This window comes from Homo sapiens, chromosome 7, assembly GCF_000001405.40.
Source record: "Homo sapiens chromosome 7, GRCh38.p14 Primary Assembly".
NCBI lineage: Eukaryota > Metazoa > Chordata > Mammalia > Primates > Hominidae > Homo > Homo sapiens.
In genome coordinates this window covers 77,997,486-78,016,108 of record NC_000007.14, presented here as the reverse complement: position 1 = coordinate 78,016,108, position 18,623 = coordinate 77,997,486, and the positions used below count along the sequence as shown (strand labels likewise).

The window sequence follows — 18,623 nt, the reverse complement described above, 5'->3', positions numbered from 1 at the left end:
CTTGAACAGGGCCTTATCATGAATTCATGTCTCCAAGGTATAGGCAGGAAACTCTGAACAGAGGAGGGACTCAGATGGGGACTGGCCAAAGGGTGAGTGTGCCTTCCTCTAAAGCTCCTTGTTTGTCAAGTCCAGTACGGAACAGTATTCCAACTTCTCAAGAGAAGGAAGAAAAAAAAAATCAGGTCTTTATTTGAAATTTTTTGGTTTTTAAAGTTTGACAAGTTTCATTCACATTTATAAGAAAGGCTACGCAAGGAAAAAAAAAAAAAACAGTACCACAACAAACCAGATGCAGCCACATCTGGCCCACAGCCCATCAGTTTGGAACTACAGCCAGGCATTTGGCAGGAGAACCCATTGTTTTCATCAGGGCCTGGGTCACCTTCCAAGCAGTGGAGGCACAGCCCCCAGAGGTGGTAAACCCTGTGGCTACTGGGGTACACACATGCCAGGAATCGCCTCAAATGTGTATTCCAAGCATGAGACACGCCACCAGAAACCTGATTGTATTTCTGCAGTAGACGTGGATCTGCTGTAAATCTATAGAAACTGACGCTTGCATGGGCCCTGAATCTTACTTGAAAGTTTATATTCTCTTTTTAATGTTTCCCCCAAAATTATGTAAACTTGGGGCTCCCCTAAGTAACCTGCCCCTGCTCCCCTGATACTGCTGTATTTCAGGCCAAAGTCATGGCAAAATCAAATGACCTCTTTGCTGAAAGAATTTGGATTTAACAGACATTTCTGTTTCAGACAACTATAGTGCCAGACAGGATGCCTGTAAAATCACAAGAATATAGTTTCCAAGTCTTAACATAGTTAAGAGTCCTGTGTTTAGTAAGTTCTGCATCATGTCTAGTGTATACAGGGCCCCAGTTATATGTGTAGAGATTATGATTATTGGTGGTAATAACAGCTGTGATTGTGAACATTTGGGTATAAACAATGGAGCAACACCCTAGAATTAAACCAAACCCTTGCTGGGCATTTGGTAGCAGATCACCCAGGCAACTCAATGATCAGGGACTTCATAAAAGCTTAAATCTGGGCCGGGCACAGTGGCTCACACCTGTAATCCCAGCACTTTGGGAGGCCGAGGCGGGCGGATCAGGAGGTCAGGAGATCGAGACCATGGTGAAACGCCATCTTTACTAAAAATACAAAAAAATTAGCCGGGTGTGGTGGCAGGTGCCTGTAGTCCCAGCTACTGGGGAGGCTGAGGCAGGAGAATGGCGTAAACCCGGGAGGCAGAGCTTGCAGTGAGCTGAGATCGCGCCACTGCACTCCAGCCTGGGTGACAGAGCAAGACTCTGCCTCCAAAAAAAAAAAAAGCTTAAGTCTGTCCCACCACCCCTGGGGAGGGTAACCGGCCACCACAAATGAGAGCCTTATCTTAAGAGCTCTAGGAGTTTGACGAATCTTTTCTCCTGATGAAACTGCCTCTTGGAGAGTGATCTCACCTGGAAGAACCTGGTATTCTGTGAAACAATAAAGCGACCTTTGACCTCCTAAGTGGGAGGTACATTTTCTAAAACCCTAGCAGGCTGTGTGCATGTCCACCTGCTCTATACAAGGGCCCTTTACATGGCAAGGAAAAGCTCCATCTATCACCTGTCCTGCATTTGACACTGGTGCATTATGGTGTAAAAACTTCTAGGGAATTAAAGAGACAATTGGTGAATGCAGCCCTCAGCAGTAAGAAATAGTTAAGTGGGCAACACCTTCTTTGATGGAGGAGCCCAGGCAGAGTTCCTGGTGATCTCAGAATTGGCACCTACATGTATATGAGTTTTCAAATAAAGTCAGATTTCTGATTGAACGTGTGATTGGCTATTTGTCTGCCTTGACCACTTAGACTAGCTCTGCCAATGAGATTATATAGCACATATTTTCCATAGATTAAAGGCATCATGGCCGGGCATGGTGGCTCACAGCTGAAATCCCAGCACTTTGGGAGGCAGAGGCAGGAGGATCGTTTGAGTGCAGGAGTTTGAGATTAAAGGCATCAAATCTATAATTACTTGATTTCAGGTTTAAATGAAAATATATTTAAGGCATGCATGCATACAAGAGGAAATACATTCTTTGTAATATTTAAATTTATGATTTAAAAAATGCAGATGTCAGTTTAAAAAATTGGATCTAATGGTTTAGAAAGTTATTTTAGGGGCTATGTGAGCTAAAAAGAGCACTCACATAGGCAAACCTCCTTAATTTAGTATAGTAAAAATTTTCAAATAGCTGCTATGTAAAAGCATTAATGGTGAACAGCGCACAGGCCCTATTCTCAAGTTGCCTATAATCTAGTTAAAAGACCATGACAATTAACCCAGGACAGAATGTGGTCTGTGTGACAGTAGGAATGCAGGATTTTGTAGGATGCAGAAATGCTAAAAGTTGTTCTGGATAAGGGGCATTTTACTTGGATTTTGAAGGATGGGAAGGATTTCAAGAGGCAGAGCGAGTATAAGGGAGAGAACAGCTTGAGCAAAGTTAAGAGAAATGTTGGAGGAATATCAGGGGAGTGGGAAGTTATTGGTTTTTGGCTGAGAGTATACAAGAGAGAGTGGGTGGAGGGCGGGGATGAAAGCAGGCCACAAAGCCATTAGTGAACAGTGGAGAGTCAGGAAAGATTTCGGAGCAGAGAAAAGACAAAATCAGCCCTTGGCTCTGAAGTTAGTCCTGGCAGCCTTGTCTAGGAGGAAGAGCAAGTGGAGAAACTCTGGCAGGTGCTTCATATCAGTCCAGGTGAGAGATAAGAAGACCTGCCCACCTGGAATGGAGGGGAGAGTTTTGAGGGCTTTCAAGGAGGGGAAACAAGCAGACCTCAGACTTACTGGATGCCGAGAGTTAAGGACAATCACAGCCTTCCAGCCCAAGTGAAAGGAGAAAATAGGAAGAGGATCAGATCTACAAGGGACATCACGGGGCTCTTAGATTGCCCAGATGGAAATATTCATCCAGCCAATAATCACAGCCTAAAAATGAAGGTGTTTCAGAAAATTAGGTTCAGTGAGAAACTAAGTCTAAAGATTTAAGAGTGAACTCCCCAGACCCCACCAGGACCCATTCCTAGACATTCTGATGTAATTGGTTGGGATGGGACCTGGACATCAGGATTTTTTTTAAAGCTCCTCCAGGAGACAAAGGTTGGGCAGCCAAGGATGAGAACCACTACCCTAGGAGTAAAAGTTGATTATGATCTTCAAGGTAAAGAATTGGCAAAAGGAAAAGGGACAGGAGCCACACTGGGGAGATGGGTCAGGGAAGGAGTGGTTGGAAGGAGTGGAGAGACTGGACAGTGCAGGGCCATGAACCCCTAGGGAAGAGAGGATTTCAACAAACAAGGAGTAACATCAGTGACCACATGTGCAATGATGTCACTCAGAAGCAGGGGTACGACTGAATCACTTATTTTTATTTTTGGAGGTTCAAGAGACCTTTTAGTAGAATAGTACATTTAAGTCGCCGAGTGAATGAGGAGTGAGCAGGCAGAGGTCTTGTTGACAGAAATGTTGTCGATTCAAAGGAGAAACAGGAAAATTGCTGCTCATGGTTGGCTGGTTGTTTCTTAGTCTGGAGGTGACTTGCCTGCTTTCAGCCCAAGGGGAGGGAGCTGGGGGAAAGGAGGGAAAGTGACTGTGGGCAGCAGGCAGGGAGGGAGGTGGTCAGAAGGCCTGGAGGAAATGGAGGTTGGGAAGGAATAAGAAGTACCCTGGGGCGGGGCAGAGGGCGCGTGGAGATGAGACTTGGCAGAAGAACACTCATCCACTTCGAGAAGGCTGTGTGTCTTTCAGAGATTTGGAAAAACACTAAAGAGTCAAGGGAGTCCATATCCTATGCCTTCTGTGTTTTCAGCTACTGGAAGTCTGCTCAAATCTGTAAAATGTAGAGGTGACACTGAAGATTTGAAAAGAATTAAAACATTTTCCTGGAAATCTTGAATGAGAGAAACACGAACAAGAGAACAAGAAAAGAAAGACAGGGCCTTTCTGAAGCTAAGTGGCAGATCTAGAATTTTTTCTTTTCAGAGCAGGAGTGAAAGTTTACTAAAAAGCTTTAGAAGAGTAAGGGAAGAAAAGAAGGAAAATACAACTTGGAAGAGGGCCAAGCAGGTGACCTGAGAAGCCAAGGGCGCAGCTTACCTCTTGACTGGGAGTTTTATCCGTTGGCCTACTTCTGGGATCTTGCATTTCTCCCCACTCCTGAGATCTTATTGGGAAGCTGCTGATTAGTTTCAGGTGTTTTCTATTAGGAGCCTGTCTTTCCCTGGCACCGGCTGTGACCAATTATTACTTTAGAGAAATAGTTAACAACCACCTGACCATGCCCTGAGGGTCTCCCAACACTCCTGGTGTGTGTGTGGTGAGGGAAGAGCCCTTTTCTGCCCTGCCTACCTAACTAGCTGCCGACTATAACATTTTCCCCCTCAAGAGTCCACGACCCCAAATCTTTGGGGTAAAATGGACGAAGGTCTGCCTTCTGCAACTGCTTCCTGCTAACAGAGGGGCAGTGGTGGTTCTGTGGGTCTTGGTTTCTTGCCTGCAGGGCTGGGTTGGCTCCATGAGTTGGTGAAAGCAGTATCCAGCCAGGTCAAGGGTGACAGGGACAGCATTTTGCCTCTGTCGTGTCCCACTGACTGGCAGTCTAGAGGGTCTGTGTAGAAGGGTGAGATTATTAAATATTGAAAGGACGGTATCCCTCACTGAGGATCATCTGGAACTTAATGGCCTGAAGGCAAGTGGAGACAAATCGGGTTATTAGATTAGAAGACATGGACCAAAGCAAAACAAGGGGATGAGGACAGCTCCAAAACTTGTGAGGCTGCTGACACATCCAGGCAGCTGGTGGCTACAGTTATGCCTGCTAAGACTTGGGTGCATGGGGTTTGGCTTTGGTTAGCTCCCTTGGTCTTATTTCCCCAAAAAAGAAACCTCCAGGGTTACCCCCATCACCTGACAGGATTTGGAGGATAATTGCCCAGAATTAGAACATTGATCCAGATTTTTACATTACCCATCCCTTTTGTTTCTTCTGAGCTGCAGCCAGAGATCACTGGTTGGTTTACAGGAATAAGCAGGGTTGATCTAAAATCCAGACAAAAACTTAAAAACAACTTATGAGACTTGAATTTAATGACAGGTGTGCCATAACTTTTGAAACATAATTTCTCCAGTCCTTATTTTTGTTAACAAATCATGATAGGACTGATTTTTTTTGCACAATTAACTTTAGTCTTATTACACTTGGCCTGATTATTTGCATAAAGTGCAGCAAGAATAATTATTTTTCACATAGGCTTTTAAAATTGGCTTTGATGGAACTGTGTTCCACAAGGACTCTTAGATAATACTTTTTAAAGACATGTACCAGCCATGGGTTTGTACCCTCAAATACCTATGAATTGGGTAAATTCCTCTTCTCTTAAGGTACCAAGGTAACTTGGGGCTCTTGGGCCTGTTAGAAAGTGACAGTCTTTACTCACCACAGGTTAAGAACCCTGTACAGGGACTGTGCAGACAAGGAATGAGGCCAATTTTCCCAAGGGGCTTTTATTGGCTCTATAAGTCGAGCTTGATTTCTTAAAGCATACCATTTCAGTCAAAGCCTTGGTAAAACAACAAATTTCTCCAATTGCATTCTATTGCAAAAGAAAACATTCTTATTCCACTTATGCAAATAACTATATTGCCATAAGAATACTCACAAATTTTCCAAATTCTAGAGAAATCAGGTAGAGAGAAATATGCTCCAAATTTTGTTCACGGGTGTATACTATACTCAATTGTTAAAAGCTGTAAATAGCTAAAAAGTTTCCTTGACTCTGAAAAATAAAATAAAGATGAGCAAAAAGTCAAAAAAAAAGATTACCTCACTCTCCTATTAGTTCAATCCATTCAGTTAAGCTCTGTTCTGCTTGATATTCATGAACATTTCAGCTCTATATAGGTATAGCTTGGATATCCGCTTTTAATTAAGTTGACTTTTGATCATAATGCTCTTAAAATCCTTTTAATCTCTTTTTTTTTTTTTTTTTTTTTGGAGACAGTCTCGCTCTGTCACCCAGGCTGGAGTGCAGTGGTGCGATCTCGGCTCACTGCAAGCTGCGCCTCCTGGGTTCACGCCCTTCTTCTGCCTCAGCCTCCTGAGTAGCTGGGACTACAGGCACCCGCCACCATGCCCAGCTAATTTTTTTGTATTTTTAGTAGAGACGGGGTTTCACTGTGTTAGCCAGGATGGTCTCGATCTCCTGACCTCGTGATCCGCCCGTCTCGGCCTCCCAAAGTGCTGGGATTACAGGCATGAGCCACCGTGCCCGGCCAAAATTCTTTTAATCTCTTATACCTGACTTTAGCCTGGCCAAATGGCAAATACTTGTGTCTTTTGAGCTTTGCCAAAGGCAACCTCAAAGGTGAAGTCAATAAGTTTTAACTAAAGTTATGACTTAACCATGAGTGTACAAGGTATTTTTAGAAAAGTGATAAGCAATTTTTACAAAATTTAGAGTCCACAAAAGTAGCTCTGAGAAAGGAAAATTCAAGAAGAGAAATCAGGCTGGGCGCGGTGGCTCATGCTTGTAATCCCAGCACTTTGAGAGGCCAAGGCGGGCGGATCACGAGGTCAGGAGATCAAGACCATCCTGGCTAACATGGTGAAACCCCATATCTATTAAAAAATACAAAAAAATTAGCCAGGTGGGGTGGCGGGCTCCTGTAGTCCCAGCTACTCAGGAGGCTGAGGCAGGAGAATGGCATGAACCAGGGAGGCGGAGCTTGCAGTGAGCCGAGATCGCGCCACTGCACTCCAGCCTGGGCAACAGAGCAAGACTCCGTCACAAAAAAAAAAAAAAGAGAGAGAAATCAGAAGTTGTGCATGGAGGGGCAGGGAATACAGTGATTTTTACCATTTCTACAACCAGTTTGCACAGAGAGAGAAGCCAGAAGTCTGACTGGTAAGAAGTTTAATATTTTCTTTTGGAGGGAGGGGATGCCATTTGCCCCACCCAACAGGCTTAGCCCTGTCATCCTTTTTCTACTCTCCATTATAAAAGACTTAAGAGGCTAATCTGAGGACTTCCTGCATGGTGTACTGGGTTTCGAAGCTGAGTCTTGTAATTTCTTTCCAGTTTATTTTTAAGCCAAGAAGTTTAAGATTTGAGGAAATTAAACTTTTCCCAGTTTTGGAGAATGCATCCAAGGGGCATGTCCTGTGGTATGGAGATGCGATTACCCATCTGCCACTCATGAAGAGAACAAAGGACGGGAAAAAAAAGAAAAAAGAAGGCATCCCCCCTTTCTTCCTATTATTCTGGATGGGGCATCCCCCATCGTCCTGGGTTCCAGGCTTAATCAGTCTTACTGTATACCCTTGGTTCTTGGTTCCAGGCTTAACCAGTCTTACTGTGTACCCTTGGGCAGATCTAGAATTCTAACCCAGGTCCGTCTTAATACAAAGTCTGGTATGGAGTAAGTGCTCAACAAGGAGTTGTTAAATAAAAGAATACTCCTTCCAAAACACTTCTGAGAGCAGGAGTGATTCAAGCCTCCCTGTTTCTCTGCAGGCATTTCTGAAACAGAGCATGCTCTGCCTAGGACTTCCTGGGCCATCTCTTCACCTGACACAGCCCATGTGTATACAGGATTTGTTCCCTAACAGTAAGACATCTAGCCTCGTTCCAGGGCCAGGAGCCAAGGACATGAACAGTAGAGTTAACCTAGCATTAGAATGGCAGGATTATTACTCTGGATATATATAATGATTGTTTTCACAGTGATATTATGCATATTTCCATTTGATTCTCACACTATATAAAATGGGAATGGGGACTATATCTTTGCAGAGACGAAGAAGTTGTGGTCTTTAAGATTATTTGCCCAAAGTCACGCAGCTACTAAGAAGCATAGCACTCAGCTTCTAAATCCCAATCTTAGACCCTTTCCAGCGCACAGCGAGAGGAAGGGTACAGAGGGAGTACAAGGACAAAGCCACCAAGTGGGAGGAGCCCATGGCTTGGGCAAAGGGGTGGGACAGGGGTCAAGACAACGGAAGAACATCAGAAGTGGGTAAGATGGTAGGGACTCCTAGACCATGTAGCTGGAGGGGACCTCAGAGAGAGGGAGACAAGAGGTTGTGCAATTTCAGGTGGGTCCTTCCAAATTAATATGATTAAAACGACTCTTAGGAATAAAGAATAAAACATGCTAATGAAAGCAGAACGCTCTCTTAATATCTTTAAATGCTTGCCTTAAGGCAAAAGCCACAGCAAAGGGAGACTGCTGAACCATTAGGCAAAGGAACTGTCCTATGCATCATAAATGCATTCACAAAAGTGTTAGGATGCAAAGAGTGCCTTGCTACTGGAAGCAAAGACAGAAAAGATTTGACTTCTTGAAATCCAGGTACCAGGAAAGACATGAGCCAATTTATTTTTCCAGCGCTTAACAAGATAATACAAATGAGCTGCAACTGCTTCAACCATAATGGACATGGAATAAAAAGAGAAATTCATAGAAAGAATGCTTCAGAACAGAGACCCATGTAAACTACCCTTTCCAAATGTTAAAAATTAGCAGGGGTCATAAGATTCAGGGACATACCTTCAACTATCTCTGTGTTCTGCAGGCATGCCTGGATTCTTGCTTCTTGATCTGGATTTCCAACTCTGAGATGGCCCTAGGCATGGCCCAAAGCAAGCCAAAGTGAGCAAATGCGGCACTACAAGACAAAGGCTGAGAATATATGTATATATACTCACACGTGAACACACAGAGACTCACGAGCACACAGATACCCAGATTCACACACATCTATCCAGGGACTCCAATTTTAGTACTTTCATTGTGACAAAATAACATCTATGCCAAAAAGTACACAAAAACATTTGGATGGTTTACTCAGTTTTAAAATAGGCACATGTAGAACCATCATCCATGCTGAGAAACAGCCTGGGATCAATTACTTGAGACTGGGCCAGGCACGGTGGCTCATACCTATAATCCCAGCACTTTGGGAGGCCGAGGCAGAAAGATCACCTGAGGTCAGGAGTTCGAGGCCAGCCTGGCCAACGTGGCAAAACCCCATCTCTACTAAAAATACAAAAATTAGCTGGTCATGGTGGAGCACGCCTATAATCCCAGCTACTTGGGAGGCTGAGGCAAGAGAATCACTTGAACCCCTGGTGGGGAAGAGGTTGCAGTGAGCCAAGATCATGCCATTACACTCCAGCCTGGGCAACAGAGTGAGACTCTGTCTCAAAAAAAAAAAAAAATTACTTGAGACTAATACAGAGTAAATACTTGACACATACTTTTATTAGTACTGTTATCATTAATTAAAAGACATATACCATTTGCAGTGGTGCTCTGGGACTGCCATTCAGCAAGTATGTTTGAGCGGTCAGCTGTGTGCCAGGTGCTGTGCAAGGGCCGCACCTTTGACAGTGTTCCCCACCTCTTTTCATCATCAGGTAAGTAATGCCACAACCAATGACACAATTGCAGGGTGGTGGGTGCCCCCAGGGAGAAGTCAAGGACACCATAGCAGGGGGCTTGCTGGCTGAGGGGGCAGGTGGGCCCAGCTTCTCCTGAGGAAGTGACTGCTCTGCTGAAGGCTGAAGGTGCCCAGGACTCAGACAGGAACATGCTCTGTGGAACAGAAGCGTCTGGGGGAGAGTCAGGGCCTGAGGGAACCAGGATGATCAACTCACCCATTAGCCAGTGACCGTCCTGATTTTCAAACTAAAAATCCACATTCCAGCAAACCTCCCAGGCGCGGGCCAACCGCAGGGCTTGATTACCCAAGAAGGAATGGTGTAGTGATCAGGCTAGCAAATCTGAGGCCCCGACAGAAGCCAGTTGCCTCAGGCACAGAGGATGAGAAAGAAGTCACCAGCAGGAGGCTGGGAGCCGCAGAATCCAGATCACACAGGGCCTAATCGGCCTTGGCCAGTATGTGGGCCTCCATTCAAAAGGCAGCAGGAGACTGCTGATGGGTTCTAATTGGGCAGAACAACCTGATGTGATGTGGGTTTCTTGTAAATAACACTCTGGCAATGGAGTAGAGACTTCAGAGGGGACGGGCCTTGTGGAGACCACCATTGTGCTCCCTACCCCACTTTTCTCCCCTGGCCTCAGTTCCTCCTCTCCTTACTCTCCATCCTCTGTGTCCTGTGCTGTGTCCAGGCTCCCGAGCCCTGGAGGCTGGAGACACCAAGCTCAGCCTTCCTGAACTTCTGTCTTGGGGCAGGCATGAGCCTTTCTGGGAGGGCTCAGGAGGCCTCACTGGTACATCTACAATTCTGTGATGAACCTTCCTGGACAGGTGTCATCAGTACACCAACTCACAACCCTCACTTTCCAAGTTCTCAGACGTTTTCTCCAACACCAAGGTGTGGATTGAAAGTTGATTTTATGTCTGTGGAATTAATATTTGCTATGCCTACCGTAGAATAGGTTCTCAGTGAATGCTTGCTGAAGGTTGAATAATTTTTTTAGAACTGGTCTCTTCTCTAAATCCAACATCATTTCCCTGAGTGTATTAGTCCGTTTTCACACTGCTGATAAAGACATACCTGAGACTGGGTAATTTATACAGGAAAAAGGGTTTAATGGACTTAAAGTTCCACGTGGCTGTGGAGGCCTCACAATCATGGTGGAAGGCAAGGAGGAACAAGTCATGTCTTACATGGATGGCAGCAAGCAAAAAGAGCTTGTACAGGGAAACTCCCATTTTTAAAACCATCAGATCTCATGAGACTTATTCACTATCACAAGAACAGCAAAGGAAAGACCCTATCCCATGATTCAATCACCTCCCACAGGGTTCCTCCCATGACATGTGGGAATTGTGGGAGTTATAATTCAAGGTGAGATTTGGGTAGGGACACAACCAAACCATATCACTGAGTAGGAATGGCTTTCAGCCTGGCAAGCAGCTCTGATGAGTCAGAGTGGGCAATTTGTGATTTTCCTCAGGTTTGCTTGCACCTGTGTCCACAAAGTTCTGACACAGGAGCCTGATATTGTTATTTGAGCATCCCTTGGGATTAAAGCTAAGCTTCTGGGACTCCTTCAGGTGCTTTATCCAAAATAAGTCCAATAACTCTTTCCCCTGGACTTTCTCCTCCTCATGCTCAGGCCCAGCCTCTGAAGCCAGCAGGGCTTGAGGAGGCCTGGCCCTGGCTCTTATTTTGGGAAGGCAAGGGCAGGAGCAGAGCTACAATGACAGGGCAGGCCTTCTTGTTCTAGCTTTCCTTGCACAAACGAAGGGAAAAACTTTCCACTAATATCCTTGGCTGAATTCAGGTACATGGTGTCCAGCTGGTCAGGATTCCTTAGATGGGCTCGGCCTCCACACCATGAATGTTTGCTGGAAGCATGTAAAAGGCCTCTGCCAGTCTGGGCCAGGACTATTCCAGACTCCCTCTGCCTCTCTGCTCCAATTGCAGCTCCTCTAAATAACATACACACACACACACACACACACACACACACACACACACACACACACACACACACACAGAGCCCACATATCCCATTTGACTCCCTGTCCAGGCTCCTGCTACTCATGTCAAGCAGCACATTTGGGCTGTTTCAGCCAACCTCAGCCCTGCAGCCTGCAATGGGGTCCTGCCACTCACCAGCCAGCCTCTTGGATAAGAGACTCCCAGCTGAACTCCCTGCATTGGCCTCTCAAGACCAAAGTCCCTCATAGCCTGTTCTCCACTGACCTTCCCACCAGAAGAGGCCATTTCCTCACAACCCAACCCCAAAACACATTTTCACTCCGTTTTTAATCTGAGTCAACAAAGATAAAACCAAGGTGTTTTTTTTTTCTAACCACCACCATCATCAAGGACCTAATGGTACAGGGTGAGAGCTTTGTAAGGTTTAAATGCATAGTTAGGTATAAATACCTTAAAACATAAAGCAGTCATCTGGAACACACAGCCTCGCTAAGGGGAAGGGGCAGCGGGGATGATTTTGTCCTGAATTACCCTGCCAAGATATTGAAAAGAGCAGCAGTGAATCATTTGAACTACTTCTAGAAGACTAGCTGCTGTGACAAATAACCCTCACCCTTCAACGCCCCCAAAAAGCTTATTCCTCACTCAGGTGACAGGTCAGAAGTTGCTGGTTGAAGAGGTGGCTTTTCTTGTGCAGTGATTCAGAGCCCTGTGTTCCTTTCATTCTCCAGCTCCACTGTCCCCTAGGAGACTTGCTTCTGAAAGACTGGCCTGTGTGCCAGCAGCTTGGACATCCCTGAAAGCTTGTTAGAAATGCAGGATCTCAGGCCCCACCCTAGACCTACAGTTTCAGAGCCGTATTTTAAGAAGATGCCCATGGCCAGGTGACTCATATACAGATGCTCCTCTACTTGTGATGGGGTTACATCCCACTAAACCCATTGTAAGTTGAAAAATATCATAAGTAGAAAATGCATTTACTATACCTAACCTACCAAACATCATAGCTTAGCCTCGCTTACCTTAAAATGCTCAGAACACTTATATTAGTCTATAGTTGGGCAAAATCATCTAACACAAAGCCTACTGTGGAATAAAGTGTTGAGGGCCGGGTGTGGTGGCTCATGCCTCTAATCCCAAAACTTTGGGAGGCATATGGATCCTTGAGTCCAGGAGTTCGAGACCAGCCTGGGCAACATGATGAAACCCAATCTCTACCAAAAAAAAGAAAAATACAAAAATTAGCTAGGTGCGGTGGCACAAGCCTGTAGTCCTAGCTACTCAGGAGGTTGAGGTGGGAGGATCGTCTGAGACCAGGGAGGTCAAAGTGGCAGTGAGCTGTGATTGCACCACTGCACACCAGCCTGGGCAACATAGTGAGATCCTGTCTCAAAATAAATAAATAATAAAGTGTTGAATACCTCATGTAATTTATTGAATACTGTACTAAAAGTAAAAAACAGAATGGCTCTATGGGTACTTGAAGGATGGTTTCTACTGTATCACTTTCACACCATCATAACATCAAAAAATTGTAAGTCTAACCATCATTAAGTTAGGGACCACCTATACATAGAAGTTTGAGAAGCCCTGCCCTAGCGCCCCAGAGTCCTCTGGAACCAGATAGCAGAAGGGGAAAGAAGGTCTGGAGCAATTACAGCCCCTTCTTTGCTTCCTCAAGCGACCGGTCACACTCATTCATATTCCCTTAATGAGAACTAGTCACGTGGCCACAACTGGACACAAGGGAGCTGGGAAATGTAGTCCCTGACTGGGCAGCTGTCTGGCAGACACCACTCCACACTATGGAATTGGGAGGACAGATTTTGGTAGACAGACATTTCTCATTCACACACAGTACTTTGTGTATGTTTTCTTTTTCCTTTTTGTTTTTTTTGACTTGCTCTGTCACCCAGGCTGGAGTGCAGTGGTGCAATCAGGGTTCACTGAAGCCTCCGCCTCCGAGTTTCAAGTGATTCTCCTGCCTCAGCCTCCCGAATAGCTGGGATTGAGGCACCCACTACCACACCCGGCTACTTTTTTTATTTTTAGTAGACATGGGGTTTTGCCATGTTGGCCAGGCTGGTCTTGAACTCCTGACCTCAGATGATCCGCCTGCTTCGGCCTCCCAAAGTGCTGGGATTACAGGTATGAGCTACCACACTCAGCCTTCATTTTTTCATTAGAAGAAAGAATATTTCCTCCTCTCCTCTAGAAACTGCCTTGGGGGATGGCATCATGGGAATTTTTCCAGGTTTCTGTGTGAAGGTGGTGCCAACTGGACTAATATTTCAGACAAGAAGATAAAACATCTTCTTCACCACAAGCCATCATGTTCATAAGAGTCTGTGATCCCATGTGGTTCCCAGCAGTGCCTGCTTCCCCTCACCCCTAACACAGAGGGTATCCCCAGATGACCTTCTCCTCCGAACACATCTGAGGCATCTGACCACAGAACAGCAAACGTTTTTGTAAAGTGTTGGATAATAAATATTTTAGGCTTTGCAGGCCATGTTGTGTCTGTTACAATCACTCAGCTCTGCCTCTGAAGCATGAAAGCCGCCATAGATAAAATATAAATGAATTCACATTATATAAACAGAGCATAGGAGAACTGACCATCATTCATTTTGCAAATCTTTCTTGAGCACTTATTAAGCAATGTAATGTCTCTGAACCCAGTCAAAATGTAAACTCCATGAAGGCAAGTATTATATCTATCTTGTTCCTTACTCTAGTCCTTGAACATAGCACTGTGACTGGCACATTTATAGAATGAAAGAATGAATGGTCAAATGAACATCAAGCAAGGGAAAATTTACAGATTGGAAGAACTACAGCAAGCTATTTGAGGTCCATCCTGGCCAAGAGATCCACATAGTCAAGGTGGCCAGGAAGCCTACGATCAGAATAAGACAAAAGGAAGTCATCCACCAGGTCATAACCTTTGGTAACTTGGCCCAGGAAGGGCCCTTACAGAACAGCAAGGCCTGATGACCCATTCTCTTCAGTGAGCAGGTGGCCACCATCTTGAAAGCAAAGGCCCAATAGCAGGACAAGCAATGCTTGTACATGCAGAAGAGAGACAAGCAGGGACCTACTAATAGAGGACTCGTCAGAGTGGGGCTCAAAACCTAATATGGAGGCCCTAGACAAGTACAGAGGCCATACTGAAGGGATTGCTAAGAGAAAACTTGGTCAAGGTCAGGAGCAGTCACAAATAATGAGGAAATAGCATTAAATCATCATGAGCCATGTGCCCTGACATTTACATATGGCATCCAGTGTTATCCTCACAGCAGTCTTGCATGTTCATAATATTCTCCTTGCACCTCCAAAACTGCTTTTGTTAGGTCACATGACTTCACTCCAGGACTCTTCTGTAAAGCCACATAGAGTTTCTCAGCCTTAGCTTTAGGCCAGATAATTCTTTGTTGTGGGAGGCTGTCCTGTGCATTGCAGGATATTTATTTACAGCCCTGACCTCTACCCATCAATTATAATGACCAAAAATATCTCCAGACATTGCCTAATATCCTCAGAGGTAGAGGAGATTTGAGGGCCACTGAGCTACAGGAATCCAGACAGTGAGGCATTGGCAAATGATAGGCACATACGTCAATGGAACAGAACAGAGAGTCCAGAAACAGACCCATACATATACCGTCAATTAAATTTCAACAAAGGTACAATGGCAATGCAACGGAGAGCGAATAGTCTCAACAACTGAATATCCATATATATAAGAAAGATGTGCCTTGATGCATATGTCATACTATATACAAAATTAAACTTAAAATGGATCAGAGGCCTAAATATGAAAATCTGAATATGTGATCAATTTGACTTAAATACAAATTTAAAACTTCTAATCTTCAAAAGATAGTTAAGAAAATGAAAAAAAAAAGTCACAGATTGGTAGAAAATATTTGCAAAACAAAAATCTGACAAAGGAGTTGTATCCTCAATATTTCTTTTTAAGTCTCAAAATTCAATAATAAAACAAAACAACTCAATTCTTTAAAAGAGTGGACCAGGCACAGTGGCTCATGCCTTCAATCCCAACACTTTGGGAGGCTGAGGCAGGGGGATCACTTGAGGCCAGGAGCTCAAGACCAGCCTGGGCAACAGAACAAGACCTCCATCTCTACAAAAAAAAAAAAAAAAAAAAAAGTCAGGCATGCTGGCACATGCCTGTTGTCCCAGCTACCTGGGAGGCCAAGGCAGGAGGATCACTTGAGCCCAGGAATTCAAGTTTACAGTCAGATGTATCATGCCACTGCACTCCAGCCTTGACAACAGAGCAAGACCGTCTCAAAAAAATCAACCAATTGATGAAAAATTAAAAAAAAAAAGAAAGTTGTAAAAAGGCACTTCAACAAAGAAAATATACAGAAGACAACTGCATAATAACATGCTCAACATTATTTGTCATTAGGGAAATGCCAATTAAGACCACCAGGTGATATCAATTACACACCTACTAGAATGGCTAAAATTTAAAAACTGACATACGTTGTTAGTAGATACAATCATCTTGGAAAATATTTGGCAGTTCCTTTTCTCTGTTTTTTTGAGACAGGGTCTTACTCTGTCACCCAGGCTGGAGGGTAATGGCTTGATAATGGCTGGCTGCAGCCTCGACCTCCCTGAGCTCAGGAAATCCTCCCACCTCAGCCTCCCAAGTAGCTGGGACTACAGGCACATGCCACCACACCCAGCTAATTTTTGTATGGTTTGTAGAGATGGGGTCTCACCTTGTTGGCCAGGCTGGTCTCAAACTCCTGGGCTCAAGTGATCCCCCCATCTCAGCCTCCCAAAGTGCTGGGATTACAAGGATGAGCCACCATACCCAGCCTGCAGTTTCTTATAGAGTTGAAATAGGCTTACGTATTTATTTATTTATTTTTATGTTAAGTTCCAGGGTGTTATATGCAGGATGTGCAGGTTTGTACATAGATAAACCTGTGCCATGGTGGTTTGCTGCAGCTGTCACCCCATCACCTCGGTATTGAGCCCATCATGTATTAGCTTTTTCCTGATGCTCTCCCTCCTCTCCCTGCCCTCCCTCAACAGGCCCCAGTGTGTGTTGTTCCCCTCCCTGTGTCCATGTGTTCTCATTGTTCAGCTCCCATTTATAACTGAGAACATGCAGTGTTTCGTTTTCTGTTTCTGCATTAGTTTGCTGAGGATAATGACTTCCAGTTTCATCCATGTTCCCGCAAAGGACATGATCTCATTCCTTTTTATGGCTGCATAGTATTCCATGGTATATATGTACCACATTTTCTTTATCCAGTCTATCATTGCCAGCTTATGATATTTTGTTATAGCAGCCCAACTGGACTAAGATAGACTTCCTCTTTGACCCACGTGTTATTTAGAAATGCATATCTCCAAATGTTTTGGGATTTTCCAGCTATCTTTCTGTTGTTGATTTCTAGTTTAATTCCATGTGGTCTGACAGCATTCTTTGTATGACTCCTATTCTTTTGAAATTGTTAAGGTATGGTTTATGCCTAGAATGTGTTGTATCTTGGCGAATCTTCATGTGAGTGTGCAAAAAATGTGTGTGCTGGTGTTGTTGGATAAAGTCATCTATAGATGCCCATTATATCTTGTTGATTGATGGTGGTGCTGTTCAGTTCAGCTATATCCTTACTGATTTTCTGCTTGATGGATCTGACTTATCTCAAATTCCATGGTCAATCACTCTACTCACTCCCTTACACACACTCTCAAATCCCTTGCCCCTCTTTGCTTCTGTGCATAAACCACAATTGTGGTCCAAGCCAACTCTCTGCATGTACCTTGCCTATCTTCCCATACATGTTGGAGAAAAACATTCACCATGCTGACTGGTATCTCTATAATTCATAACCACTAACCTCAAGTGGTCCATGTATGCTGCTGGGCAAACAGGCTGACACTCCTTGGTCCTTTCCAGGGATAGACCCATTCCATCCACCTCTCGTGGATGACTATTTCGTACCTTCTCATTTCCCTTCAAATTGCCAACACCTCCTCCTTAATCCTTGCTCTCAGCAGATGACCTTGCTTCCTAGGTCACATTAAGAAATTAGAAGAATTTTCTATCACCATATCTACACCTGTATTTGTGCCCTATACTCTGCCTCCAGGCCTTTCACTCTCAAGTACTTGCCTATGCCACTAGCAAATGTCAACCCCTGCCCTTCTGGGCTAGACTGAGCTCGCCTGCTCAGGGGCCATACTGCAGCAATTCTCCTCTCTTGCTCCTGCGTCATTCATTTGTCCCTCTCTCTTTGATCTTCCTCATCAGTACACAGGCTATGTTTTTCTTTGGGGGGCTTCTTCATTCCTTTTTTCCTCTAGGGAAGTTGCTCTTCCCCATGATAGCCACATGGCTCTCTCCCTCTCCTTCGCAGGTCCTTACCAAATGACACCTCTCAGGGATGCCTTCCCTGCCAAAGCTTGCAACCCCCCTGTGGCGGGCATACCCTCAGGTGACCTCAATGAGCCCTTGAAGAGTCCCTCTCCCCTTGAGTGAGGACAGAACCTGTTCCTACTTGCTTCTAACTAATAAGATATAGCAAAGGTAATGGGGTGTCACTTCCTTGAATAGGTTACATTATATTATACATTATATATATACAAGATGATGGGCTGTCACTGTCATGGTTACGTTACATTATTGAAAGCTCCATCTTAGCAAACTGAAGAAAGAGATTGTCCTCGCTGGCTTGAGGAAGTAAGCTGCCATGTTGTGAGAGGGTCCAGGGAACTAGGAGGCCTCTAGGATCTGAAGGTGGCCTCCAGCAGACAGCTGTCAAAAAGCAGGGGCCCTCAGTCATCTGAAAATCTGAATACGTAACTTGGACTTAAATCAAAATTTAAAACCTCTAATCTTAATTTAAAACCTCAGTCACACAACCATAAAGAAATAAATTTTGGACTGGGCATGGTGGCTCATGCCTGTAATCCCAGCATGTTGGGAGGCTGAGGCGGGTGGATCATTTGAGGTCAAGAGTTCAAGACCAGCCTGACCAACATGGTGAAACCCCATCTTTACTAAAATACAAAAAATAGCTGAGCATGATGGTGGCAAGCCTGCAATCCCAGCTACTCAGGAGGCCAAGGCACAACAATCCCTTGAACCCGAGAGGTGGAGGTTGCA

The 18,623-nt window shown here is 44.6% G+C and overlaps 1 annotated feature.

Moving 5' to 3' along the window:
* Positions 9,730-10,230: an enhancer, noted in NCBI's record as "NANOG-H3K4me1 hESC enhancer chr7:77635196-77635696 (GRCh37/hg19 assembly coordinates)". NCBI's record gives its function as "activates a minimal SCP1, AML or CMV promoter by ChIP-STARR-seq in naive H9 embryonic stem cells {active_cell/tissue: H9 hESC(naive)}" and the evidence as "EXISTENCE:reporter gene assay evidence [ECO:0000049][PMID:30033119]".